Source organism: Homo sapiens, chromosome 6, assembly GCF_000001405.40.
Source record: "Homo sapiens chromosome 6, GRCh38.p14 Primary Assembly".
In the NCBI taxonomy this organism is placed as follows: Eukaryota; Metazoa; Chordata; class Mammalia; order Primates; family Hominidae; genus Homo; species Homo sapiens.
This window is the reverse complement of record NC_000006.12, coordinates 33,628,974-33,656,319: the sequence shown is the minus strand read 5'-3', so window position 1 is coordinate 33,656,319 and position 27,346 is coordinate 33,628,974. Positions and strand designations below refer to the sequence as shown.

At 51.7% G+C, this 27,346-nt stretch overlaps 1 protein-coding gene and 2 long non-coding RNA genes across 9 annotated transcripts in view, besides 5 other annotated features; 1 reads left to right on the top strand and 2 right to left on the bottom strand.

The window, feature by feature from the left end:
* ITPR3 (inositol 1,4,5-trisphosphate receptor type 3) overlaps positions 1–27,346 on the bottom strand; it is a 75,241-nt gene that overhangs the window by 40,243 nt on the left and 7,652 nt on the right. For 5 of the 7 annotated variants that reach the window (NM_002224.4, XM_047418731.1, XM_017010832.2 and 2 more), the window contains 2 exons: positions 15,766–15,836; positions 433–554 (listed from right to left, as the gene is read on the bottom strand). In NM_002224.4, the coding sequence (NP_002215.2) occupies positions 433–554; positions 15,766–15,836 (193 nt within the window). Of the gene's footprint in view, positions 1–432; positions 555–3,711; positions 3,737–15,765; positions 15,837–22,363; positions 22,445–27,346 lie in introns of those variants that run through there. The other 2 variants (XM_047418733.1, XM_011514577.4) reach the window with 2 other exon arrangements.
* Positions 4,678–5,178: an enhancer, noted in NCBI's record as "H3K4me1 hESC enhancer chr6:33618919-33619419 (GRCh37/hg19 assembly coordinates)". NCBI's record gives its function as "activates a minimal SCP1, AML or CMV promoter by ChIP-STARR-seq in primed H9 embryonic stem cells {active_cell/tissue: H9 hESC(primed)}" and the evidence as "EXISTENCE:reporter gene assay evidence [ECO:0000049][PMID:30033119]".
* Positions 5,179–5,679: an enhancer, noted in NCBI's record as "H3K4me1 hESC enhancer chr6:33618418-33618918 (GRCh37/hg19 assembly coordinates)". NCBI's record gives its function as "activates a minimal SCP1, AML or CMV promoter by ChIP-STARR-seq in primed H9 embryonic stem cells {active_cell/tissue: H9 hESC(primed)}" and the evidence as "EXISTENCE:reporter gene assay evidence [ECO:0000049][PMID:30033119]".
* Positions 21,202–21,748: an enhancer, noted in NCBI's record as "H3K4me1 hESC enhancer chr6:33602349-33602895 (GRCh37/hg19 assembly coordinates)". NCBI's record gives its function as "activates a minimal SCP1, AML or CMV promoter by ChIP-STARR-seq in primed H9 embryonic stem cells {active_cell/tissue: H9 hESC(primed)}" and the evidence as "EXISTENCE:reporter gene assay evidence [ECO:0000049][PMID:30033119]".
* Positions 22,456–22,785: a silencer, noted in NCBI's record as "silent region_17052". NCBI's record gives its function as "represses an Ori minimal core promoter by ATAC-STARR-seq in GM12878 lymphoblastoid cells {active_cell/tissue: GM12878}" and the evidence as "EXISTENCE:reporter gene assay evidence [ECO:0000049][PMID:35858748]".
* ITPR3-AS1 (ITPR3 antisense RNA 1) lies at positions 22,575–25,076 on the top strand. Its single transcript, NR_134628.1, has 2 exons — positions 22,575–22,956; positions 23,307–25,076. It is a non-coding gene; the product is annotated as an ITPR3 antisense RNA 1 (long non-coding RNA).
* LOC124901305 (uncharacterized) lies at positions 24,349–26,282 on the bottom strand. Its single transcript, XR_007059550.1, has 2 exons — positions 25,936–26,282; positions 24,349–24,881 (listed from the first exon to the last, which is right to left on the bottom strand). It is a non-coding gene; the product is annotated as an uncharacterized LOC124901305 (long non-coding RNA).
* Positions 26,194–27,070: an enhancer, noted in NCBI's record as "H3K4me1 hESC enhancer chr6:33597027-33597903 (GRCh37/hg19 assembly coordinates)". NCBI's record gives its function as "activates a minimal SCP1, AML or CMV promoter by ChIP-STARR-seq in primed H9 embryonic stem cells {active_cell/tissue: H9 hESC(primed)}" and the evidence as "EXISTENCE:reporter gene assay evidence [ECO:0000049][PMID:30033119]".

Below are 27,346 nucleotides of genomic sequence, written 5' to 3'. Positions count from 1 at the left end.
CCTGGCACAGGGCTGTGCCAGCCTGGAGGAAGGGGCACTTTCTTCTCATTGACACAACAGAGTTACACAGACTGGTGGGTCACTGGGAAGGGATCCTACTCCCCCCACATCCCCTCCTTCACAGCAATTCACACCAATCTCTTGCGTATTGGAATTTATTTTTTTATTTTTATTTTTTATTAATTTTTTGTAGAGATAGGGTCTTGCTATGTTGCCCAAGCTGCTCTCAAACTCCTGGCCTCAAGCAATCCTCCTGCCTTGGCCTCCCAAAGTGCTGGAATTACAGGTGTGAACTGTCACGCCCATACGAGTTTTAGAAACCACTCAGCTCAGCCACAGAGCCCCTACTGGCTCCGACAAGCAGCACCGCTGCTTGTGTACCCAGGTTCCTGGTACATGTGCACAGATGCACGCCTGCACACACACACATACCTGCAGCTTCTGCAGCAACACCACATCAGCGATCTTCTCCTTGTCCTGCTTAGTCTGCTTGGCCTTCCAGTACTGCTTCTGGGCCGAGTAGCGGTTCATGGGGCACACCTTGAAGAGGCAGTCTGTGGTGGGGCAGGTTGGGGGTGAGGGGAATGATTCATCTGGGGCTCAGGGCCCTCCCTGGAGAAAACCCCAGCCTGCAGCTCTTCTCTCCCAACCCTTCCCCACCCCCGTTCCCCGCTGCAGGTAGAGAGGAAGCGGTTGGAAGAACCTCACAGAATTTGGAGCATCCTGGAATATGCTGAGTAGAATGGGGAGGCTCAGAGGCAGGTTTGAGAGCAGTGCATCTCACTTGGTGGGGTGGACACGTGCCCTCTTCCCCTAGGAGATTTACCAGAGGCTGCTGGGGCCTCACCCTTATGCCATGTCTGTGCCCAGCTTTTGTGAGTATTGGCAGCTAACAGCTCACATCTGCATCCTCTTTAGCTAATTGCCTTGGCTGATGGAAACCATCTTGCACACAGATGCCTGGGAAATGACATACCCCTCTTCCCAGGGGCAGCCCCTATCCAGTGACTGACACAGGCATAGAACAGCCCAGCCTCTGGAGGGGACAGTCCGAGGAACAGCTCACAATCCTGAGCTCCCCGAGGGGTCAGGCTGAGGCGCATCTTCCACTGAAACCACACCCTTGCTCAGCTTCTTCTCCTGCCCTATACAAAGAGGAAGAGGCTCCCTCACTGTGTTCTCCTGAGAACTTCCTCAAGAATTCACCCATCTTAGGCTCTGCTTCTAGGAATCTGACCTAAGACAAGGCAAATCCAAATTCCAGAAACATGTTCTCTAGTACAATTTTTATTTTGGCAAGTAGATAAAACAAGTGTCATTCCCATAAGCCTAAGCTGCAGGAAGGGTGTCCAATTTTTCTGCTTATCCAAAGGAGGCAGGAGTTGGAAAAGCCTGTTCGAAAGCTTGGTAGGAGGGGAGGGAGGATTCTGGGTGCTGGTGAGGGGCTGGTGTGGGTGACTGGGCCTGTGTGACAATAGCCTGGGCTGGGCTGGGAAGCAGTGAGCTCCCCATCACAGGAGGGATCCACAGCCTGGGCACGGAGCAGGACTCAGTGGCCCTGAGATCCCTCTCATGCTGCAGCTGTGTGAGTCCCTGATTGTACAATGCTCTGGCAGTGTGGAACAGAAAGGAGATGGCTGTGTGGGGAGACTGGAGAGGAGAGAGCCACTCGAGGGTCCCAGAAACAAAACCCCTTCTTCAGGTCCTTTCCTGTTCCCTCTAAGAAAGCTGTGTCTTTTCTCTGGTCAAAGCTGGTCATCCAGTCCCAAGGGACCAAAGAAAAATTAGATTTTCCATCCAGTTCATAAGGAGGCAAAAGCTCCATGGGACCATCGGGAGTAGAAACAGAGTGAACCAAAGATCAAGGAAGACAGAACTTCCTAGAAAGAAAAGGGAAAAATGGCAATTCCACAAGCAGATGGAGCCACCAAGGGCTGCCCCACCTAGGCCCCTCAGCATTGCCAGCATGAGTGGACATCACTTCCGAAAGAGCACTCAGTTTGTTGGAGAGAGTGTGTCTTTTTTATTTTTTTTATTTTTCTTATTTTTTTTGAGACACGGTCTCACTCTGTAGCTCAGGCTGGAGTGCAGTGATGCAATCTCGGCTCACTGCAACCTCCACCTCCCAGGCTCAAGCAATTCTCCTGTCTCAGCCTCCCAAGTAGCTGGGATTACAGGCATGCACCACCATGCCTGGCTAATTTTTGTATTTTTAGTAGAGACGGGGTTTCGCCATATTGCCCAAGCTGGTCTCAAACTCCTGACCTCAAGTGATCCACCCACTTCGGCCTACAAAAGTGCTGGGATTACAGGCGTGAGCCACCACGCCCGGCAGAGAGTGCATCTTTATGGGTTCGGCTCGGCCCTCAGGAGGCAGCTGGGGTCCTCCTGCCTCTTCAGGCTGGGTTGGCACTCCCAGGGCTTCCCCACATCATTTTGTGGATCTCAGTGCCTTGTTAGAGGCAGGCAATTCCCAACAGAGTGGTGGGGAATGGGACACACCAGGGAATGTTCCGGAAATTCAGTGGGCAGGGAGTGATTTGGGTTGTACCACCAATTGTCACAGTGGCACTTAGTGAGCAGAACAGGGTTGCTGGACGCCTGCACCACAGAGATTATCCTGGGTGATGCCTGATGGCAAATGTCCTGCCCACACGCATAGGTGGACATCTATGAGCAGTGTTCTGGGCCTAGAGCTATACACAGAGGCACAAATTTTTTTGCATGGATTTAGCAAACACTGAATTTTCCAGGAATGCAACTCCAATATAAACTGAGGGAAAGCTGTCCTTTGTGTTGTTCAAATTTTCCCAGGAGTTTTCTGCTATTTCAGAAAATACATCACTCATGGCCACACCAAATGGGTGCATGTGTGGCTGCCACATTCATGATTTAAAGGTAAGTGGGCTGGGCGCAGTGGCTCACGCCTGTAATTCCAGCACTATGGGAAGCCGAGGCAGGAGGATCACTTGAGGCCAGGAGTTCGAGACTGGCCTGGGCAACATGACGAAATCCTGTCTTTACAAAAAAAAAAAAAAAAAGTTAATAAAAAATTATCAACAGGCAGCAAGTGGTGGGAAAAAATAAAAATAATTTAAAAAAATAAAAAATTAGCCAGGCATGGTGGTGTGCATCTGTAATCCCAGCTGCTCAAGAGGCTGAGGCAGGAGGTTCGCTTGAGCCAAGATTTCAAGACCAGCCTTGGCAACATAGCGAGACATTGTCTCTACTAAAATTCAAAAAAATTAGCTGGGCATGGTGGTACATGCCTGTAGTCCCAGCTACTTGGGGGACTAAGGCAGAAGAATCCCTTGAAACCAGGAAGTCAAGGCTGCAGTGAGCCCTGATCATGCCACTGCACTCCAGCCTGAGCGACAGAGCAAGACCCTGTCTAAAAACTAAAATATATATATTTTTAAAGTTACTTTCCTTTCTTTTCTCTTTTTTGTCACACTGAGGACATTAAACTACCTCATTCCCTCCCCCTGGCTCCAGGCTCACTCAGACCCTGGCTCTAGACCGCCACCATTTTGCATTATATAAATATGGATATATAGGCCAGGCACGGTGGCTCATGCCTGTAATCCCAGCACTTTGGGAGGCCAAGGCGGGCAGATCACGAGGTCAGGAGTTCGAGACCAGCCTGACCAACGTGGTGAAACCCCATCTCTACTAAAAATACAAAAATTAGTCGGGCATGGTGGCACGCACCTGTAATCCCAGCTACTCAGGAGGCTGAGGCAGGAGAATCACTTGAACCGGGGGTCGGGGGCAGAGGCTGCAGTGAGCTGAGATCACACCACTGCACTCCAGCCTGGGTGACAGAGCAAGACTTCGTCCCAAAAAATAAAAAATAAAAATATGGATATGGATAGATTATATTATTTATCAATTCCACTTTATGTTTTTTGCTACCCTCACCAGACTCGGGGTGGGCAGGCTGGCAGGGCCTGGTTAAGCTCATCACTGTTTCTCCAGCCCCTAACCTGTTGGCTCAGCATGAATCTGCCGGATGCATACATCAACCCAGAAATTACTTCCTCCTGTATAAGGAGGTAGGGTTTGATTTAGCCTTGGAGGGAGGAAGAGGTTACGAGGCACACAACTGGAGGAAAGAGCAGGAGGTGGGAGAGGATATGGCGCATCTAGAAACAGGACAGAGGTTCCTCCTGGCAGGGGCAGGGAGCTCATGCAGGAAAGAGGGGCCAGGCAAGGGAGGTGCTGAGCTGAGACCGGAAGGGCTGAGAGGTGCAGGGCCCTGTGTCTGAGCCCACAGGTCCTGGGGATTGTCAGCTACTTGGTCTCCACATGGCCCACCAGCCCCTTCGAACCCTAGTCCAGACAGGAGAAAAGGCAGAAAGGGACAGGTACAGCCCCTAGAGCAGGGGTCTCAAGCTTTTCCGACCTTGACTCACCTAAGAAATAAAACTTAGATCACCACTGCTTAAAACGGCATGAGGACTCCCTGTCCCTGGTCATGGTACCAGGCTCCAGGTCCGACAGGGCTGAGAACCATGGTGACCTTCTATGGTGACAGAAAGCAACTAAAACAACTGGATTTTTAAAATGTGTGTTATGCTAAGACTTAAAGAATCAACAAGATGGTGAAGAATTACCCACCAAAAAGAGAAGATAGAAAGGAAAACAAAACAGACATAGAAACACTCAGCTACTTTTGCCTTGAGGCGACTTCCTGATTCCCGGAAGCATGGACTTTTATTTTGACAGCTTCTTCAGATGGAAGGATCAGAGGTCCATGCCCAGGCCCACAGAAGGTGAGGGGTCAACAGAAGACCGGGACCCTATAGGGATACAGTCTCAGACAAGGGCTGAGCCCACAGTAGAACAGCTCATGTCAGGAGCTAAAGATACTAGTTGGAATCCCCCAGATGGTTCAAGTAACCCCAAACGACCTGGGCTTCAAGTGGGCTTGAACTGGCGAGACCCTCAGGAGTCTGGCAGAAGGAACACCAGGGCCTTCCTGGAGGAAGGTACCTTCATCCTAGACTCAAACCAGACTTTTCTTTTTTTTTTTTTTTTTTTGAGACGGAGTCTCACTCTGTCGCCCAGGCTGGAGTGCAGTGGCGCGATCTCGGCTCACTGCAAGCTCCGCCTCCCGGGTTCACACCATTCTCCTGCCTCAGCCTCCTGAGTAGCTGGGATTACAGGCGCGTGCCACCACGCCCGGCTAATTTTTTGTATTTTTCAGTAGAGACGAGGTTTCACCATGTTAGCCAGGATGGTCTCGATCTCCTGACCTCGTGATCCACCCGTCTCGGCCTCCCAAAGTGCTGGGATTACAGGCGTGAACCACCCCGCCCGGCAACTCAAACCAGACTTTTCAAATGCAATAACCAGTATATGCTCAAAGAAAAGCAGGGATCCTTGGGAACCAGACACCGCGAGGGAGAACAAGCCCACAAAATAGACACTAAAAACAGACACAGGCAGAGACTTCAGACGCAGACATCACCTGTAAAACAGATATGTCTTCTCTGCTTCAATCAATTAAAAAAAAAAAAAGCTTGAAGATCCCTGCAGAGAACAGAAAACGATAAAAAAAAATGACATAGCAGACTGAAAAAAGAACCAAGTAGAACTTCTAGAAATAAAAAAAGCTTCAATAACCAAAATTTAAAACTCACTGGACATATTTAACCAGAGAATAGCCAGAGCTGAAGAAAGAATTAATGAAACCATAACAGCCCTTATAGGGTGGATGCATTCCAATTCTACCCTATCCATTTCTGTCGATGATGGCTGAGCCCATTCAAGTGACTTCACAGCCCACTAGCGGGTCAGAGCCTGTGCCTGCATGAGACACACTGCCCTGAAGCATCCCCGGGAGAGCAGTGAAGTCAGAAAAGAGCCCTCCCTGCTCCTCCTGACTCCTCCGTATCTTTCTTGGAAACTTAATAACTGGAACTTGTAAGATTCAACTTTTTCTCTCACATAGATCCTCCCTCAGAGCCTTGCCCACACATACACATGCCAGAAGATGCTGAGTGAATGAATAAACAAGTGGGTAGACTCGGGGCCCGTCGCCATACACATCCCATGCTTCTACTGCGCTGTGCTCCTTGCCCAAAGGCAGCCCTGTCAGAACCCCAGAAGGGGCCTGAGCCTTCCCTGTCACTAAACCACAGGGCTGAAGGGCAGAGAGAAGGAGGGTGGATGGGTAGCCAGGAGACTGGGCCCACACAGGAGTTGCAGCATCAAAGACCATGAGAAAAGGTGGAGGGTCCAGGGAGGTTTCCTAAAGTAAGGATTGTGTGTCCCGGGGTGTGTACCTGTGGATGAAGGGGCACAGGGCTGGTGAGGCTGCAGGCAAGAGGCTATTCATTTATTAAATAAGGTCAGTCAACATTCATCCAATACTGACTAAGGTGCCTACCACTCCAAATGCCCACTGCCACTGCATACCATCATTCCAGGGCAAGGGGGATAGCTTTAAAATACACAAACTCCCAGGTCCTCCACAGATCTTGGCAGGTCTCGGGTGAGGTCTAGGAATATGCATTTTTAAAGGCACCTCTCCCCCACTCCCTTTCTACCCCACATGGTTCTGCTGCTCAATCAAGCACCAGAGTAGAGGATCCAAGTCAAGGACAGAGAGCAAAGCAAGTTATACGGTTGCAGTAATGTAAAAGCTCTGCAAGAAATAATGCCTGCATCTGCTTCCAATCATCTTCAATGTTTAGACTCAACCTATAGAACAAAACACCCAAGATGTCATTGTGGTTACAGAAGAGGATGGAAAGGTCATTCAGTCTTGATGACTTAAAAATAAAAATAGGCTGGGCGCGGTGGCTCACGCCTATAATCCCAGCACTTTGGGAGGCCAAGGCAGGCGGATCACCTGAGGTCAAGAGTTTGAGACTAGCCTGACCAACATGGAGAAACTCAGTCTCTACCAAAAATACAAAATTAGTTGGCCGTGGTGGCAGGCACCTGCAAGCCCAGCTACTTGGGAGACTGAGACAGGAGAATCGCTTGAACCCAGGAGGGAGAGGTTGCAGTGAGCCGAGATCGCACCATTGCATTCTAGCCTGGGCAACAAGAGTGAAACTCCATCTCAAAACAAAAACAAAATAAAAATAAAAATACATGTGGCATAGGCCAGGCGCAATGGCTCACACCTGTAATCCCAGCACTTTGGGAGGCTGAGGCAGGTGGATCACGGGGTCAGGAGTTCAAGACCAGCCTGGCCAAGATGGTGAAACCCGGTCTCTACTGAAAATACAAAAAAATTAGCCAGACATGGTGGCGCAAGCCTATAATCTCAGCTACTCAGGAGGCTGAGGCAGAGAATTGCTTGAACCTGCCTGGGAGGCAGAGGTTGCAGTGAGCCGAGATTGCGCCACTGCACTCCAGCCTGGAAGACAGAGCGAGACTCCGTCTTGGAAAAAAAAAAATACACATGGCAGCCTGGGCGTGGTGGCTCACACCTGTAATCCAAGTACTTTGGAAGTCCAAGGCAAGAGGATCACTGAGCCTAGGAGTTCAAGACCAGCCTGGGCAACTTGGTGAGACCCCCAATTTCTACAAAAAATTTTAAAAACTAGCCGGGTCTGTTGACACGCACCTGTGATCCAGCTACTTGGGAGGCTTGAGGCGGGAGGATTGCTTGAGCCCTGGAGGTCCAGGCTGCAGTGAGCCATGATTGTGCCACTGCACTCCAGACCCTGTCTCAGAAAAGAAAAAAAATACACATGGCAGTAGTGGGAGGGAGACATGGACAGAGTGCTTGGAGGAATTGACAGAATGAGGAAGAAAAAAAAAGGGTAACTGAGACTCTCAGGTTTATAAAGGTGACCCTAGAGAATCTACAGGCCACAGGATGCTGTTGGGAGGATGAGGGGGGCAATGGAAGAGCAGGTCATGAAAGCTAAATTATCATCTATCTTAGAAGGGCACCAACAGATACTCTAAAATTGGTAAATCAAGCAGTAGTGGCCGGGCACTGTGGCTCATGCCTGTAATCCTAACACTCTGGGAGACCAAGGCAAGAGGATTGCTTGAGCCCGGGAATTTGAGACGAGCCTGGGCAACACAGTGAGACCTCGTCTCTACAAAAAATTAAAAAATTAGCCAGGCGTGGTGACGCACACCTGTAATCCCAGCTGCTCAGGAGGCTGAGGTGGGAGGATGGCTTGAGCCTGGGAGGTCAAGGCTGCAGCAAGCCATGATTGCGCCACTGCACTCCAGCCTGGATGACAGAGCAAGACCCTGTCTCAAAAAAAAAAAAAAAAAGAAAAAGAAATAGAATAATCATAACATTTGGAGACACAGGGGTAGCTAGCAGAAGAAACCATGAAAAGAGTTAAAAGGGGTTGCTTTCTCTTATTACATTGCTGGTGAGGGTGCAAAATGATACAACGGCAGCGGGGGGCAAGTGGCAATCACCGAGCTCCCGCCCTCTGCCTCAGCAACCTCAGTGCTGGGCTTGCATTCTCGGAGCGCACCTGCTCTTACATAAAATGACCACAGAAGAGGGTCTTTGCTGCAGCACCAACAGGAATAATAAAAGACTTGAAACAGCCCAAGAGTCCATCAGGGGGACTGCTGAAACAAATTACAATAGAGCCACATAACTCTATGTGTGGAATGCTATGTAACCATAAGAAAGAGAGAAATTCTGACAGATGCTGCAACATGGATGAACCCATTATGCTAAGTGAAATAAGCCAGTCACAAAAGGGCAAACACTGCATGATTCCACTTGTATAAGGTACCAAGAGTAATCAAATTCATAGAAACAGAGAGTAGAATGGTAGTTGCAAGGGCTGGGGGGAGGAGGAAATGGGGAGTTATTGTTTAATGGGTACTGAGTTTCAGTTTTGCAAGATGAAAAAAGGTCTGTGGATGGATGGTGGTAATAGTTGCACAGAAATGAAAATGTACGGAATGCTGCTCAACTGTATGCTTAACGATGGTTAAGATGGGAAACTCCTTGTTATGTGAATCTTACCACAATTAAAAATAAGTGACTTTTGCCAGGCACAGTGGCTCACACCTGTAATCCCAATATTCTGGGAGGTTGAAGCGGGCAGATTGCTTGAGTCCAAGAGTTCGCTTATTTTCCAGCCTAGGCAACACAGTGAAACCCTGTCTCTACAAAAAATAAATAAATTAGCCAAGCATGGTGGCACGCACCTGTAGTCCCAGCTGCTCTGGAAGGTGAGGCAGGATTGCTTGAGTCCAGGAGGTCAGGGTTGCAGTGAACCATGGTGTCACTGCACTCTGACCTGGGCAACAAAGCAAGACCCTGTCTTAATAAATAAATAAATAACCTTTTTTAATATTTAAGACAAATTACTATGTAATTTGTAGGAGACTATTTTCTCATGGTTGTCCACAATATGCAACTAAAATGAATATACTTTTTTTCATCTTTTTTTTTGAGACAGGATCTCACTATGTCGCCCAGGTTGGAAAGCAGTGGTGCAATCACGGCTCACTGCAGACTTGACCTCCTGGCCTCATGCGATCCTCCCACCTCAGTCTCCTGTGTAGCTGAGACTACAGGGGTGTACCACCACATCCAGCTAATTTTTGTATTTTTGTAGGGACGGGGTTTCGCCATGTTGCCCAGGCTGGTCTCAAACTCCTAGGCTCAAGCAATCCACCTACCTGGGTGTCCCAAACTGCTGGGATTACAGGCATGAGCCACCACACCTGGCTAAAGTGAATATAATTAATGAAAGAGAGAGAGAGGAAGTTTGAGCTTCTACATATTCAGAGAGAAAGATCTCCAGAAGGGTCTGTCTACAGCAAGATTTATAAAGCGAAACCAGCAAAAAAACAGAATAGTGTATATAGAATGCTATCTTTCTATAAGAAAAGGGAAAATCTGGATATATGTTTGTATTTGCAGAATGGAACACTGGAAGAGACATAAGCAATTAAAGACAGTGATGACCTAAAGAGGCAGTGGTGGAGGGGGTGGGGGGTGGGAAGAGGGTGGGAGCAGACTCTCAGTCTGTGTTTGTATGGTGTTTTGATGTTTTAACAGAATGAATAAATTACCTAGTTAGATTTTCTTATATGGTTGCCCCTGGAGAAGGGGAAAGGAGGTTGAGTGAGGAGGGTAGAGTGGAGGACCAGGGTAGAGTGGGGGATCCTAGATCATGTATTTGTCTTACTTTTATAAAAAGGAAAAAAAGGAATAAGAGTACATTTTCGGCCAGGTGTGGTGGCTCACGCCTGTAATCCTAACACTTTGGGAGACCGAGGCGGGTGGATCACGGGGTCAGGAGTTCGACACCAGCCTGACCAACATAGTGAAACTCTGTCTCTACTAAAAATACAAAAATTAGCCAGGTGTGGTGGCACGTGCCTGTAATCCCAGCTACTCAGGAGGCTGAGGCTGAAGAATCGCTTGAATCCAGGAGGCAGAGGTTGCAGTGAGCTGAGATCGTGCCATTGCACTCCAGCCTGGGTGACAGAGTGAGACTCCATCTCAAAAAACGAAAGAAAAAAAAAAAGAGTACATTTTCAGTGACCAAAAAACTTATGAAAAGGTGCTCAACCTCACTAGTAGTCAGAGAAATGTAAATTAAAACCACAGTAAGATGCCATTTCACACCCAGCAGGCTGGAAGAAATTTAAGTGGGACAAGACCAAGTGTGGCAAGGATGTGGGCAGAGCGAAGGGAGCTGCCCCCACAGTCGCCACAGGGTCACTTCTCATGCCATGGAGGCGCATTCCTCTCACCTAGTAATCCCCCCACTCAGAACATACCAGAGGAACCCGAGCACACGAGCCTAAGGAGGCTCACTGCAGCATCGCAGGCAATTGCCAAAAGCTGGAAATGAGCTGAAAGTCCATCAACAGGAGTGCCAATGAAGGGATTCAGTTTATCGCCCAATGGAATGCAACATTGCAATTAAACACATGAACTACAGCCATGTGTATCAACTCAGATAAATCTCAAAAACAGTACTGAATTTATTTTTATTTTATTAATTTTTTGTTTGTTTGTTTGAGACAGCGTCTCCCTGTGTCACCCAGGCTGGAGTGCAGTGGCGTGATCTTGGCTCACTGCAACCTCCGCCTCCCGGGTTCAAGCGATTCTCCTGCCTTAGCCTCCTGAGTAGCTGGGAGTACAGGTGCCCACCACCACACCCGGCCAATATTTGTATTTTTAGTAGAGACGGGGGTTTCACCATGTTGGCCTGGCTGGTCTCAAACTCCTGACCTCAGGTGATCCACCTGCCTTGGCCTCCCAAAGTGCTGGGATTATAGGCGTGAGCCACTATGCCTGGCCAGGAACCAGTATAGAATTTAAAAAGTGCAAAAGGATTTGTCCAGGAGGCTACCTTTAATATATGGGGTTTAAAAAATATAAAAACTTAGCCAGGTGCAGTGGCTCATACCTGTAATCCCAACACTTTGGGAGGCCAAGGCAGGTGGATCACCTGAGGTCAGGAGTTTAAGACCAGCCTGGCCAACATGATGAAACCCCATCTGTACTAAAAATACAAAAATTAGCTGGGCGTGGTGGCACGCACCTGTAATCTCAGCTACTTGGGAGGCTGAGGTGGGAGAAACACTTGAACCCGGGAGGGAGAGGTTGCAGTGAGCCTTGATTGCACCATTGTGCTCCAGCCTGGGCAACAGAGCGAGACTCTGTCTCAAAAAAAAAAAAAAAAAAACCTATATTGTGCACAGTTACATCCCTATGCATTAATAGCAAAAGCATTAAAACAGACCCCTGGTCAAAGCTTTGTGTTAGGCATGAGTAAAAAATAAAAATAAAACAGGCCCTTGAATGATGCACACCAATTTCTGACAAGTGTTTACCTCTGGAGAAGGCAGGAGAGGAAGGGGAAGGGAGGAAGATGTAGGGGGCTTCGGCTACAGCTATGTTAATTCTTTAAAAGTAAAAAGATCTGGGCCAGGCGCAGTGGCTCACGCCTGTAATCCCAGCACTTTGGAAGGCCGAGACGGGCGGATTGCCTGAGGTCAGGAGTTCCAGACCAGCCTGGACAACAAGGTGAAACCCCATCTCTACTTAAAAAAAAAAAAAAGTAAAAAGATCTGAAATAAACGTAGCAAAAAGGATTTGACAAAGCTCAGCAGTGGGTGCATGGGGTGTGTGTCACTTTTCTCTTTCTTTTTTTCCCCTGAGACAGAGTCTTGCTCTGTCACCCAGCTTGGAGTGCAGTGGCACAATCTCAGCTCACTGCAAACTCTGCTTCTTGGGTTCAAGCAATTCTTCTGCCTCTGCTTACCAAGTAGCTGGGATTACAGGCACATGCCACCATGCCCGGCTAATTTTTGTGTTCTTAGTAGAGACAGGGTTTCACCATGTTGGCTAGGCTGGTCTCGAACTCTGGACCTCGTGACCTGACTGCCTCGGCCTCCCAAGTGCTGCAGTTACAGGCGTGAGCCACCGCGCCCAGCCCTATTTTTCTCTTTACTATCGTGTAGACTTGAAATATATCTTAATCACAATAACAATAAGCCGGGCTTGGAGCATGGACAGGTAGAGGAGGCGTAGGCTAGGGAAGGGGGCATCCAGTCATGCAAATGGAGGGCAGTCACCTCATCACTCTCCTCCCTGGCACCTGCCCCCACACACATGTCTTGGGGGCACTGGGGCTGGGGGTGCAGGCTCTGAGCTTCCCTGAGGTAGACCTGGAGACAAGGGCTACCCAGGTCCCTTGCCCCAACAGGAGGAGGAAAAGAAGGAAAAAGGGCTAGGAGAGGGAATGTGCCCCAGGCTCAGCCCAGTCAGCAGCTCGGGACTCACGGCAGCCACAGCCCGAAACGTTACAGCCAGGCAGAGTTCAAGGGCTGGCCTAGCGTGGGTGCCACACATAGCAGGGCATCAGCAGCCTGGGCTTCCCAGGGCCTTGCCAGCTCTGGAAATAATTCCCTGAACATGTTGGGGCTTAGGGTGGCTTCGAAGGTGGCTGGAGCTGAAGCCACAAGCAAGGAGCCATGCAGGGATTCCTTCCCGAGGTGGGGGTGGTGGGGGCTTTGCGAGTCCAGCCTCCAGGGTCAGCAAGTGAAAGGGGAGCTGGCAGGGAGCCGGGCAGGGAGCTGGGAGTCCCAGCAATGGCCAGGCTCACCCCAAGATGGTGGGGGGCAGAACTTCTGGGAGTCTTCAGGACAAGGCCATTTCTGATGACCACCAGCCAACTTCTAAAACGCCTGCCATAACCCCACCCCCTTGCTGGGTCCCACCCTCCAGGGCCAGTGGAAACAGTGAAAGCCAGGACTCCTGGCTTGAGGCCAAGCTCCATCTTTGTCTTTTCTGGGCTCCAGTGTCAAAACTGAAGAGGCTATAGTCCATGTCTCTCATCCCACATTCTAATGCCCCAACTTGTACTCGCCAGCCAAAGGGTGTACGGAGGCCTGGCTCTGTTCCAGAAGGTTGGCTCTGCTCAGGTCCCAACAGGGCCATAGGGAGTCCAGAGGGGCCTCTACCCACCTCACCAAGACATCAAGGAACCAGGAGCTGGGGCAGAGAAGAGGGGGAAGGAGATGGAGTCTGAACCTTTCTCTTCCACATCACTTTGCTGGATGGACCCAGCGAGGATATGGGACCACGGGGTGGCCCAGGTATCCTGGGGTGGGCCTCATTCACAGGCTTTGGGAAAATGGAGAAGATGAGATGAGGGGCCTGGGGGAGGAGGGAGAGGGAAGGCGCAATGAGGACAGAGGAGGGCAAGAAGTCAAAGGCGCATTTGTTCTGCTAAGTGGCTTTGTTGTTGTCAAAAATTGGCCCCAAACTGTTCACTAGAAGCTTAGGGCAAGTCTTCCTCGGTCACACCCACCTCCCTGTCACCAGCCTGTCACACCACACAGCTGCCCACACACACCTCGACACACATGCAAAGCTTCCCCTTCCGGTCCTGGCAGAGCCCACCCTTGGGACCCTCACCTCTCTCTCTCTTTCTCTCTGTCTCTAAGTTCTTTCCAAGAACTAGACTAAATCCTCCTACTAGATGGCAATCTAGCCTCCATCTGCAGCCTCAACGCCCTCCCATTTCTGACTCCAGGAGAGGCCCAGGCCTCCTTTCTCTACCCGTCCATCCTTCAGGGAACTGGGACAGGCGAGGTCAGACCTGTGCCTCCAAGTGAGCACATTAAACCCACAGAGCCTGGGCTCCACTGGGGAGATTCTGGGTGGGTCACAACAACAGGACATGGAGCAGCCAGGCCTGAGTGAGGGGCAGGGCAAGAGGACGCTGGGGAGGGGCCCTGTGCATGCATTGATTACTCAAATGTGCTCGGGGATCTGCCGTGTGGCAGACACTGCAGGTAAAACAGCAAACAACAACAACAAAAACACAGAAATCCCTCCCCTGGTGGAACTGACATTCTAGTGGGGCAGAAAAATGGCAAACACAAATAAATAAAATACACTGAGCACAGCAGATTCATGCTACAGAGAAAAAGAAAGCAGGGAAGGGAGGTGGGGCCAGCAGTGCGATTTTGTATTGAGTGGTCAGGGAAGGCCTCGCTGAAGATGTGAGACCTAAAGCTGCTGAGCATCTGGGCTGCGTGGATATTTGGAGAAAGAACGTTCAGGGCAGAGGGAACAGCAAAGATGTGGAGGCGGGAGTGTTGCTGGTGACTGTGAGGAATGGCAGGGAGGCTGGTGTGGTTGCAGGGAAGTGGGAGGGGGCAAGGGGGAGAGGATGAGGTGGAGAGGCAGCAGGGGCCAACGGTGTAGGGTGAAGGGGCCTTATGGTGGTGCGGTTCGTCCAGGGCCAGGGCAGTTCCCACCTAAGACCTCCACCAGCCAAAACCCTCACTCAGAGCCCCGTGATGGAAGCAGGAACAGAATTGCAGACAGGGGGCCCCTCTGCAGGTTCCAAGTGATGGGCAAGGACCCCGGCCGCCAGCCAGCCAGCCAAGGATGCCGCCGGATTGTCTTAAATCCCGCTCCCCTTCCAGCATCCCCCGCGAGGACAATCCCAGCTAAGCTCTCCCCAGAGGAGCAGCCACGCGGGCAGACTTGGTGGCAGCAGGCCCAGCGTGTTGCTGCCTGCTCCCACCCTGCCCAACACGCCCAGGACCTGTCTGTCTGACTGTCAGTCGGTCTCAGCCCTCACAGGTAAGCACAACAATAGCACCTCACCCTGGCTTGGCATAATGACAGCCAGGATATTGTTTAATCCCCACAAAGGCCCTCAGCCTGCTGGGCGGCCCGAGGAGCCCACTGACCACTCAGGACAAGGTCCCGTGAACGAAGTCACTTGCCCAAGGTGAATTCTCACCAACTTCCCACCAAGGGGCTTTGTTATTAGAGCCTCCTGCAGGGCAGGACTCACACACAGGAGGGGGCTGAGGACACAGCCAGGGTCAGAAGAGTTCTGGAAACCATGGGGTCCAAATCTCTTACCATGCAGATGAGGAACTGAGGCACAGGGAAGGGCTGTCACCAGGGCCTCCTAAAGTCTAAGACAATTCTCTTTTCCACCCGTTCCCTCAGAAAACATCCAGTCACACAGACAAAGAAAGCCCTGTGGCTGTGGGGATTTTGGGGGGAGAATGGGCCCCTGGCCAGAAGTGGGTGTGCCCCTGAGAAGTGGGGTGTGGCCCCAGAAAATGAAGGGAATGGCACGTCTGTGCCAAGATGGCAGCAGTGCAAGCCAAGGGGGATTCCGCCGACAGCAGAGTGAGGTCTGCAGGGCAGCGCCACATCTAATCCAGCCACTGGGGCTGAATGCAGTTGAATAAATTCAGTCGCAGGTCCAGAACCCTGCAGCCTGGGAGGGGCGGGGGCAGAGGAAGCGGAGGTCTTACCACGGAACTTCTTAGGGGGGTTGTCCAGGTCCCCGGCCGCGGGCTCCACCACACAGCGGTCATCCACCAGCCTGGGGAACAAAGCAGCTCGGTCAGCAGGAGAGAAGAGACCTATCTCCCACAGTATCCCTTCCCTTAGAGCAGGGGATGCCAGGGTACCAGTGAGCCCCTAAGATAATTCCTCCATCTCTAACAAGCTCCCCACCATCAAGTCATTCTTTCCTGGCACCACCGTTGAAAGGCAAGGTGTCTCTTGGGGGCGGGGAGAACCCCAGGAAGAACACAGAAGCACACCCAGCCCACCCCAGCCCCCTGACTGGAGCTGCAGCTGTCCTGGGGGGACTCTGCCACCAGTCGGGCCTGTCACATGCTGCAGGTGTATCTCCTGTCCCAGCCCTGAGACCCTGCTGCCCTGATGGGATGGGCAGTGGGTGAAGGGGGCAGGAGAGGAGGAGAAAAACAAAAGCATAGAGGAGTGGAAGGGAGGGAGACAGAGAGTCAGAAAGACAAAAAGCATAAGAAACAGAAGCAGAGAGAGACCAAAGACAGACAGATGAGAGAAGCACAGGAGACACCAAACTAGCGGCATGAGTCTTTAGGTCTCCAAGGAAGGATGATGATTCTCACCCCTTCCCAGTCTCAGTCAGGCCTCATTTCATAGTCTCCTCCTTGGTTCACCCTAGGACAATTTCCCTCTTATAGCCATGCTGGCATTAATCTTGCATCTCTTGAGGGCATTCATTTACCCATCCATCTATCCACCCATCCACTCATCCCTCCACCCATCCATCTACCCAGCCCCCAATCATCCATCTATTCATCCACCCACCCATGCACCCATCCATCCACCCATCCACCCATCTACCCATCCAGCCACCCTTCCTGCATTTAAAATTTGTCAATGCCACTCCAGCCTCTAAGATAAAGTGATGCTGATCACCCACCGTGTCAAAGGCCAACTCTGTCTTAACACCCCCATGCCTGTTACCTCTGAATTCTCACCAACTTGCCAGCAAGGGGCTTGTTTTTAGTGCCATTTTACTGAGGAGAAAACCGAATCTGAATATTAAATAACTTGCCTAAACCCACAGAGCTGATTTCAAAGCCCGTGCTCCTTCTGTACCTCCTCTCCCTGGGTTGGTTAACAAGGTCTTTTCTGTTTTTTTTTTTTTTTTTGAGACAGAGTTTCACTCTGTCGACCAGACTGGAGTGCAGTGGCGCAATCTCGACTCACTGCAACCTCTGCCCCCCGGGTTCAAGCAATTCTCCTGCCTCAGCCTCCTGAGTAGCTTGGATTACAGGCACCTGCCACCACGCCTGGCTAATTTTTGTATTTTTAGTAAAGACTGGGTTTCACCATCTTGGCCAGGCTGGTCTCAAACTCCTGACCTCGTGATCCACCTGCCTCAGCCTCCCAAAGTGCTGGGATTACAGGTGTGAGTCACCACGCCCAGTCTAACAAGGTCTTTTGTGATCTGACCTCTACCTACTCCCTAGCTAGCCTCACTATTTCCTTGCCCCAACTCTACTAAACCTCCAGTTGATCCCAAGGTCCCTGGAGCTCTCATCTCTCCAGAGGCAGTCCTGGCAGCCTGCAGTGCCTTAATACTCACTCCACTCTGGCCCCATGAAGCCACAGGCCTAGCAAAACTCCATCCTTCCACCCTCAGCTCTGCTTTCCTACTCTACAAAGCCTTCCTTGGCCAGCCCCTGTGGGCCTCCCTCCTTCATGTTCCGGCACCTGGTCCTGGCAGTGTCTCTCCCCACTTCTTGACTTGCTGTGTCTACACTGTGAGTTCCTTGAGAACGGAGCCCCTGTGTGTTTTCTTTGTAATGATTAACACCTTGCACAATGCAAAGTGTTAATGATATAATAAGAAATATATATTTGGTCTTCATCCCGGCTCCTGGCCAGAGCTCTTAAAGCCCTTGTAACTTCCTAAGTGATAAAGGCAAGAAGAGTTACAATGTTTAGATTTTTGTATGCAGTTCCTGAAATAGATCGGAAGCAATAAAGATGAAATGGCATGAATTTTGTTCATTCCAAGCCTCTTTCAACCACACCTGGTTTTATGTTAATGAGGTGACTTTTGGAAAGCCCCTGAGGATGGGGCTGCCGGGGAATAACCGTGTAATTTGAGGGTTCCCATTTTCAGCCCCACCTCCGTCACGACCTCCTCCTGGAAGGAGAGAGCCGCTGAAGGTTAGGTTGACCACCAATGGCCAATGGTTTAATCAATCATGCCTATGTGGATGGACGCGGTGGCTCATGCCTGTAATCCCTGCACTTTGGGAGGCTGAGGCGGGTGGATCATTAAGTCAGGAGTTCGAGACCCGCCTGACCAACATGGTGAAACCTCATCTCTACTAAAAATACAAAAATTAGCTGGGCGTGGCGGTGCGCGCCTGTAATCCCAGCTACACAGGAAGCTGAGGCAGAAGAATCGCTTGAACCCAGGAGGCAGAGGTTGTGGTGAGCCGAGATCACGCCACTGCACTTCAGCCTGGGCGAAAGAGCAAGACTTCATCTCAACAAAAACAAAACAAAACAAAACAAAACAAAAAACGTGCCTAGGTAAGGCAGCCTCTGTAAAAACCCAAAAGGGGCCAGGCGCCAGTGGCTCACGCCTGTAATCCTAGCACTTTGGGAGGCCGAGGCAGGCTAATCACCTGAGGTCAGGAGTTTGAGACCAACCTGGCCAACATGGCGAATCTCCATCTCTACTAAAAAAAAAAAAAAAGAAAGAAAGAAAAAATTAGCCGGGTGTGGTGGCACACGCACTCTTGTAACCCCAGCTACTCGGGAGGCTGAGGCAAGAGAATCGCTTGAACCCAGGAGGCAGAGTTGCAGTGAGCCGAGATCGAGTCACTGCACTCCAGCCTGGGCAACAGAGCAAAACTCCGTCTAAAAAAAAAAAAATCGCTGGGTGTAGTGGCACACACCTCTAACCCCAGCTACTCAGGAGGCTGAGGCAGGAGAATCGCTTGAACCCTAGAGGCAGAGGTTGCAGTGTGCTGAGATCGAGCCATTGCACTCCAGCCTGGGCAAAAGAGCGGGACTCCGTTAAAAAAACAAACAAACAAGCAAACAAAAAACCAGGTTCAGAGAGCTGGGCTGGTGAACACATGTGGGTACTGGGAGGGGGTCACCCCTGGAGAGGGCCTGGAAGCTCTGTATCTCCTGCTCCATATTAATCTCTTCCATCTGGCTGTTTTCTGAGTTCTGTGAGCCATTCTAGCAAATTATTAAACATAAAGAGGGAGTTGTGGGAACCCCAGATTTATGGCTGTTTGGTCAGAAGCACCAGAAGCCCGGACTTGCAACTGGCATCTGAGGTGATGTTAGTCTTGGGGGACTGAGCTTTCCACCTGTGGGATCTGACACTGACTCCAGGCAGATAGTGTCAGAATTGAATTGAACTGCAGGACATCCAGGTGGTGTCCCCAGAGTACTGGAGAACTACCTCATGTTTTCATATATTGTTATTTAAGTTTCTAATTCTACTTTGTTATTTCCATTTTGCAGGCAGAGAAACCAGGGTATAGAGATGTTAAACAATCCACAGAGCCAGGTTTTGAAGCCAGGCAGCCCGGCGTCAGAGCAGGCGCTGTGCAGGACTGCAGAATGACGGGACGGCAGAGGGTCCTCTGTCTCCTTTTCTCTCCCGGCCTCCAGCACCTGCTTAGTCCCTGGCCCTCTTCCCTTCTCCATCTGCACTCACGTCGTTGGGCATCTTGACCACACTCATGAACTTAAAAGCACCTCCAAAACCTTCACTGAGAACTCCCACATTCACCTCCCATGAACTCCAGCCTCGGAGATCTAACTGCCTACTCGGCATCTCTGCTTGGGTGTCCACAGACATCGCAAACTCAGCCTGTGCAAGCTGAGCTCCTGGCCTCCCACCGGAACATGCTCCTCCAGAGGTCCTCCCCATCTCAGTCGATGGCAACTCCATCCTTCCAACTGCTTGGTCCAAAAACCTTGGACCTATCCTTGGCTCCTCCCTTCCACTCACACCTCACACCTAACCTGTCAGGAAATCCTGTGGGCTGCATCTTCAAAATACACAGTCAGGTACAGAATTGGACCTCTTCTTGTCACTCTCACCACCACATTGTCCAGGCTCCCACCAGCTCTCACCTGGATTTCAGTAACTACCTCCTCACTGGTCTCCTGGGTTCCCCCTTCACTCCCTTCAGCCTATTTCCCACACAGAAGCAGGGGGATCCCTTTAATTTTTTATTTTTTTGAGACAGAGTCTTACTCTGTCACCCGGGCTGGAGTGCAGTGGCATGATCTTGGCTCACTGCAACCTCTGCCTCCAAGGTTCAAGCAATTCTCCTGCCTCAGCCTCCCAAGTAGCTGGGATTACAGGTGCCTGCCACCATGCCCAGCTAATTTTTTTTTTTTTTTTTTTTTTTTTTTTTGTAGAGACAGCGTTTCACCACGTTGGCCAGGCTGGTCTCTATCTCCTGACTTCAGGTGATCCACCTGCATCGGCCTCCCAAAGTGCTGGGATTCCAGGCGTGAGCCACCGAACCCGGCCAGGGGATCCCTTTAAAAGGTAAGTCAAATCAGGCCAGCACTCCACTCAGAACTCACCAGAACCACCCATCTCAGAATAAAACCAAAGAACTTACATGGCCTGAAAGACCCACGTGGTCCACCCCCTCACATCTCTGATCGCATCTCCTCCCCATCCCCCTTCCCCTCACCCCTCTGCTCCAGCCCTGGAGCCCCCTCCAGGCTCCTCAATCCCCCAGGGGAGTGGGCACTGGCTCCTTCCTCTGCCCAGAACCCTCTACCTCCAGGATCCTCACCTCCTTCAGATCTGGGCTCAAACAAGCCTGTTCCCATGGAGACTGGAGACCCTCTCTCCCATTTTTATTAAAAATTGCAAACTGCTTCCTGCCACACTCAGTATGCACCTCCCTGTGTAATTGTTATCCACAGCCTTTATCACCACCTGGTTGGCTAGCTAGTTTACTTATTTTGTTTACTATCCCTTAGCCTGACCCCATGGAATGTTAAGTGCCGTGAGGGCACAGACGTGTCTGTTTTGCTCCCTGCCGTATCCTCAGCACCCAAACCACTGTCTGGTGCAGAGAGGGGACACACAAAATACATACTGAGTTAATTAATTCATTTTACTAGCTGTGCAGTAAAGTACACAAGAAGCAAAAGACAAGGTCCCCGCCTCAGGTAGTTTAAAATCTCATTGGGAAGACAAATCACATACTCAGAAGATAAATAATATAAAGAATATGTATCAGAGCCGACTGGTGGTACCAGCCGTGGGTTTCGTCCGAATTCAGGGAAGGGAGAGGTCACTGCTTGGCCAATCAGAGAAGGTGTGGGAGAAGCAGGAACTGCTCAGAGCCTTGAATAATTCATAGAATTTCCTGTAAGATATTAGTGAATCAGATTAGCTGGTTGTCTCTTAGCAAAGCCCTGAAGGGAGGGGACACAGGATGGATGAATTTTGATGGCGAGAGAAAGAAAGCATTGACTGGGGTGATGGAGCCGCAGGGCAGCATGGAGGTTGTGCAGCTGAAGAGAGGCTGGCGGCAGTCCCCACAGCCCCCATCTTGACCGGTACACAGGGCCTTGTAGCGGGGGAAAGAGGAAGAGGCCGCAGAGTCCCCCTCCTCAGAGGGTCCCTGTCTGAGGAAAAAACTCATCCTCATCCCTGACCCCTCCACGCCTCTCCTGGGAACTCCTTGTCTGGGTCACACATGCAGGAAAGACATGCAAATTTGGGGGCCAAAGCGTTTTTCCTCACCCCTCTGGACAAGCCCACCTGGTCATTAGGTGGATGTCCATTTGTCCGAGCCCACGCTGGCACAGCTTCTGAAGCCCCGCCTCTCCAGCTCAGCCCCTCCCCATGCCAGTGCCCAGCAGTCCACAAAGCAAGGAGTGCAAACAGAAGCCACTTAGAGAAGGGAGGGACCGGTCAGAAGGGGAGCACGGATTCCGGAGGGGAATTCAAACAAGGCTGGGAAGGAAAACATCCCAGATGTGCAGCTGAGCAGACGACAACGGTCTGTGGAAGGGACTGGAGCAGAGAAGCAAGCCCTGGGCAGGGCTACGGAAAGCAGGGAGGGTCGGTCAGGAGTGAGGACTTGGGAGGCAGGAGATGGGACCTTGGGCATTTTCTCCCGGGTCCGCCAGGACCAGCAAAACAGGCATCATCTGGGAATGCTAAGCTCCATTCTGTGTCCCCCAAGAACCTCCAAGAGGTGGCACCTTGCCACCTTGCCTTCCTTGTTTTATTCTCCAGAAGTTGAGCGCAGCCCCCACCTGGTGTGTGTAGATAAAGAAGGTGGCCCTGGGCAGATGTTTGCAGGGTCCCACCGTGCCCCCAAGCTCCCCTCACCCGTGTCTCTGTGCGTACTCATTAGGCCTAAGGGATCCCATGAAGGTGATCTCTGGCGACAGGGGAGCAGGAGGGGACGGGAGGGAGCGTCGCGTGAAGTCATTAACAGATAAGCAAGAAAGCTCTTATCAGATGGCCTGTCGGGAGACCTGGGGCCAGAGGGAGGGCCGAGGGCCGGGACACAAGTTAGGCAAGTTTGCATGGAGAGGGAGCCTCACCGGGCGAGGCCGCGACCTCCCCATCGCTGCGTGGTGGGAGCGGTTCTGGGTCCGCGCGGCTCCGGAGAGCGTAGGTCTGGCCTCCCTGGCCCCGCCCCGGCCCGGCCCGGCCCCGCCCCGCGCCCGCCCCGCGCCCGCCCCGCCCCCAGCCTGGCCCGGCCCGCGAGCTCCGGGCGTCCGGCCCCGGCCCCGGCCCCGCCCCCGCCCCCGCGGCGAAGCGAAACTCGCCGTCCCACGTGCAGCCGTCTCCCACGACGCGCCGCCGCCGCCAAGGGAGGGCCAGCGCGGCCTCGCCCCGGCCTGCCTCCGACTGCCGGCCGCTGCCAGGACGCCGCGCCTCCGCCAGACGCGCCCGGGGGCGGGGCGGGTGATGTGCCGCTGCGCCCGCGCTTTCCTGCTCTCCCCCGCTCGTCTGCCCGCGGAGGGCGGCCCCGGGGTACCCCTCCCCACCTGATGGCACCGACGTCCCTGGCCTTAGCGCCCCACCCCGACTCTTCCTCATGGCGGGCACCTGTGTTTATCAAACTAGCCGGACCACAGGTGCCCTGCTGAGTGCGCACCGGGCGCTGAAACCAGAGCCGCGCTCTACAGGGGTAAGTGGCCGCTTCGCTTCACCCCCCTCTCGCCAACGCCTCCCCACAAGGTCCCTCCACCCACGGGCCCCAGAAAAGACCTGTTCCCACCCTTTACCAGCCCACCGATCTCTCACTGTCCAGCCTCTACTAGGATGACGCCCCATCCCACTCCTGCCATCTCAAGGCCAAGCTGAGGCTCCCGTGTGGTTCCCTGCCCACGCCCCGCTACGCCCACCACCGGCATCGCCCCTCACCTAGAGGCCGGTGGTACCCCAGCCAAGATCACAAAAAAACTGCCCCTCCATCGCGCGACTCTATAGTTTATCAATCGTTTTTACATCCAGTATCTCATTGTGTTCTTACCACAGTCCAGAGTGAGGCCCACAGAGTGGATGGAACCCCTGAGCCACACAGCTGGTCAGAGAATGGCACAGACACAACCCAGGCCTCCATCTACTCGACAGACCTCACCACGAGCCTACTATGTGCTGGGTGTGGTCCCCACCCTCTGGGATCTCCTGCGACCACGCTGAGTGCCGAGGACAGGAGCCCTGTCTACACCTGTGTGTCCCCTTCTCCCCTCCAGGACCAGCCCAGCAGAGGCTCAGGAGCCCAGAGGACAACAGTCCCTGCAGTGCGCCTTCCATCCACTGGGAGGCACAAGACCAGTCTGAACAGCAGAGGGAGCAGGAGGATGGGGCTACAGGGAAAGGGTCCTGGCTGGAGGCCTGTGGGCAGGCAGGGCTGTTCTGGGCCCTCTGGAGAGGAGCTGGTTGACAGCTTGTTCTAGGGTTGCAGGAGGGCACAGTCCCTGAAATGCCCACGGGGTCTACACCCCAAGACCTTGATCTGAGGTAGGAGAGGAAGACAGCTGCATCCCATTCTGCCCCATTCCACCCTGCGTGGACTTTGAGATCCAGGTGGGCGCCATGGGAAAGGTAGCAGGGTGGGTCAGTGCTGTCTGGAAAGATTAGATAAGGAGGAGGAAGGGAGCTAGATAGAAGTGGGGCAGGTGACTATCAAGGAGCCTGACTCAAAACCTACCACCTTGGCCACCATCAGAGCACCATGGGAGGGGGAATGACAGACTGGGGGAATGACAGACTGGGGAAATCCCCGAGGGACCCTGAACAACCCTCCCCCCACCCCCATTCAGCTGTGGATGAGAAAACTGTCCCTGGGGCATGGAGGAGAAACTGACCCGCCCAGGTCACACAAGTTAATGGAACAGCAAGTTCCAGATCCCAGGTCTTCTGGCTCCCAGCCCCAGACACTGGCTGTGGGTGGAGGATTACCCAGGTGCCAAGGCAAGAGACTGAAGGCACAAACTGTTTCAGTATAATAAAAAAAATAGAATAAGAATAGTCATAATACAAATTAGATATAGAGATGATCATGGACAATTAGCAATCACTATTAATCTTTAGCTTTTAATATTACTCTTTGTTGCATTACTAATATAACCTAGGAATAACCGGTGGGTATAGGGTCAGGTGCTGAAGGGACATTGTGAGAAGTGACCTGGAAGGCAAGAGGTGAGCCCTCTGTCACGCCCACATAAGGGCCGCTTGAGGGCTCCTTGGTCAAGTGGTAACGCCAGTGTCTGGGAATGCACCCGTTAATTAGCAGACCGCGAAAGGGAGTCTCCTTTCCTTGGAAGAGTTGGGGAACACTCTGCTCCACCAGCTTCTTGTGGAAGGCTGGATATTATCCAGGCCTGCGCGCAGTCATCCGGAGGCTTAAACCCTTCCCTGTGGTGCTGTGCTTCAATGGTCCCACTCCTTGTCCACTTTCATGCTCCTCCCGTACTCCTGGTTCCTCTTTGAAGAGCGCAGTAGATAGCGGTAGAAGAAATAGTGAAAGTCTTAAAGTCTTCGATCTTTCTTACAAGTGCAGAGAAGAAAACGCTGACATATGCTGCCTTCCCTCTCTGCTTCGGCTACCTAAAAGGGAAGGGCCGCCTATCCTGTAATCACATGACTTGCTTCACCTTGTCAATCACTTAGAAGATTCACCCTCCTTACCCTGCCCCCTTGTCTTGTATGCAATAAATATCAGTGACCCCAGCCGTTCAGGGCCACTACTGGTCTCCGCGTCTTGATGGTAGTGGTCACCCCGGCCCAGGTGTTTTTTCTTTATCTCTTTGTCTTGTGCTTTTATTTATTACAATCTCTCATCTCCGCACATGGGGAGAACACCCACTAAGCCCCGTAGGGCTAGACCCTACAACTGGCCACCACTCCACAGATGCAGGCCAGCCCCAAGGAGGCCACTCCAACAGCAGGCACTGTCAGAACACTGGGATGGGCTGGTGGTGGGTGGGAAGCCTGGGGGGCCCTTTCTCCAGATAGCCAAAGTCACACCTACTAGGCGGAATGTTAAGAGAGAAACCCAGATTCACTGGTTGGGGCTCCTGGCTCATCAGAGAAAAGAAATTAACTCCTGCATCCCTGCAAAAGCAACCATTTCCTTTACCTCTACATATCTTTACCAAGAATCCACCCTGTGCCAACCAACGGGGGGCCAGACAGTATATGGAATATATAGAATTTTAAAACAAGTACAGCTAAAGCCTTCAGAAAGCTTAAAGTCTAGAAAGGACAATAAGCCGCACACGCAGAGAACCCAAATAGTCTCTCCAGGAAGAATGGAGATAGCAAGAACAACTAAACTTGGCCCAGTAGAAATAAAGGTCGGGGCCAGTGTGCCACCCTGCCTCTGCCACAGGCCTGGGTTTCTGGCTGTCAGGGTCAGGCGGGCTGTCTGACAAGTCCTGGGGTCTCTACAGCGGTGCTGGGTGCATGGGAGGACATATCTGTAAGGCCAAGGAGAAGAAAGACAGGGAGCAGGAGACCAAAGGGAAAGCTGGGAAGAGAGGGAGAAAAGGTGCAACCATGGGCCGCCAGCCAGCCCTTGCCTCATATATTTGGCCTGCCAGCCCCAGGCTTGTCTCCCACTCTCCATAACCCAGAACTGGACTCTCTCAGTCTTTCTCACTTGACAGAGTAACTGAGGCTGTAGGACCCTCAGCAGGGCAGACCCTCAGGCCAACTCGCCCTGGCTCCAAACCTCCGCAGAGCTCTCTGGGAAACAAAGCAACAAAGGCAGCCCTGACAAATCAATCCAGAAAGTGAAGCAGCCTACACCACAACCCCGCCTTGCCAGAAACTCAGTGTTCATGGTGGAAAAGGAGATGAGGGCGGGGCGCTGTTTTAGATTAAAGGAAACTGAAGAGGCATAAGAAAATGTAACACGAGTACCTTGACAGGATCTCGATGGTTTTTCTTTTTTTTTGACGGAGTCTCACTCTGTTGCCAGGCTGGAGTGCAGTGGCACGATCTCAGCTCACTGCAACCCCCACCTCCCGGGTTCAAGTGATTCTCCTGCCTCAGCCTCCCGAGTAGCTGGGACCACAGGCATGTGCCACGATGCCCAGCTAATTCTTGTATTTTTAGTAGAGACGGAGTTTCACCACGTTGGCCAGGATGGTCTTGATCTCTTGACCTCGTGATCCGCCTGCCTCAGCCTCCCAAAGAGCTGGGATTACAGGCATGAGCCACTGCGCCTGGCCTAGGATCCTGATTTAAAGAAACCAATGGTCAGGCCCGGCGTGGTGGCTCACGCCTGTAATCCCAACACTTTGGGAGGCTGAGGCGGGCAGATCACCTGAGGTTAGGAGTTCAAGACCAGCCTGCCCAACATGGTGAAACCCGTCTCTACTAAAAATACAAAAATTAGCTGGGCGTGGTGGCTGGCACTGGTAATCCCAGCTACTCTGGAGGCTGAGGCAGGAGAATCACTCGAACCCGGGAGGCAGAGGCTGCAGTGAGCCGAGATTGCACCATTGCACTCTAGCCTGGGCTACAAGAGGGAAACTCCATCTCAAAAAAAAAAAAAAAGAAACCAATGGTCGGTCAAACACAGACAACCTGGGCCCAGTGGCTGTAATCCCAGCACTTTGGGAGGCCAAGACAGGAGGATTGCTTGAGCTCAGGAGTTCGAGGTTACAGTGAACTCTGATCACACCACTGAGGACAATGGGCACATCTGACTATGGATTGGGCCCTGAATGCTATTAGGAAACTATTAATTGGTGTGATCACAACACTGTAGTTACATAGGGATGTATAATAAAATATTTAGAGGTGAAAAAGATGCAATGTATGTAATTTATCATAAAATACTTCAGCAAAAAATACAAATATCAAATGTGACCACTGTAAACAATGATTAAGTCTAGGTGGTAAGCAAATTGGTGTTCTAAATGCTTCCCACTACTTTTCCTGAATTGTATTTATGCCTCAGGCTGTGAGAGCATAGGTAAAGGCCAGGGCCACCCAATGTAAGTGATCTGTAAAGTCTACCCACTGCCATCATCATCATCATCTTTGAGACACAGACTTAATTT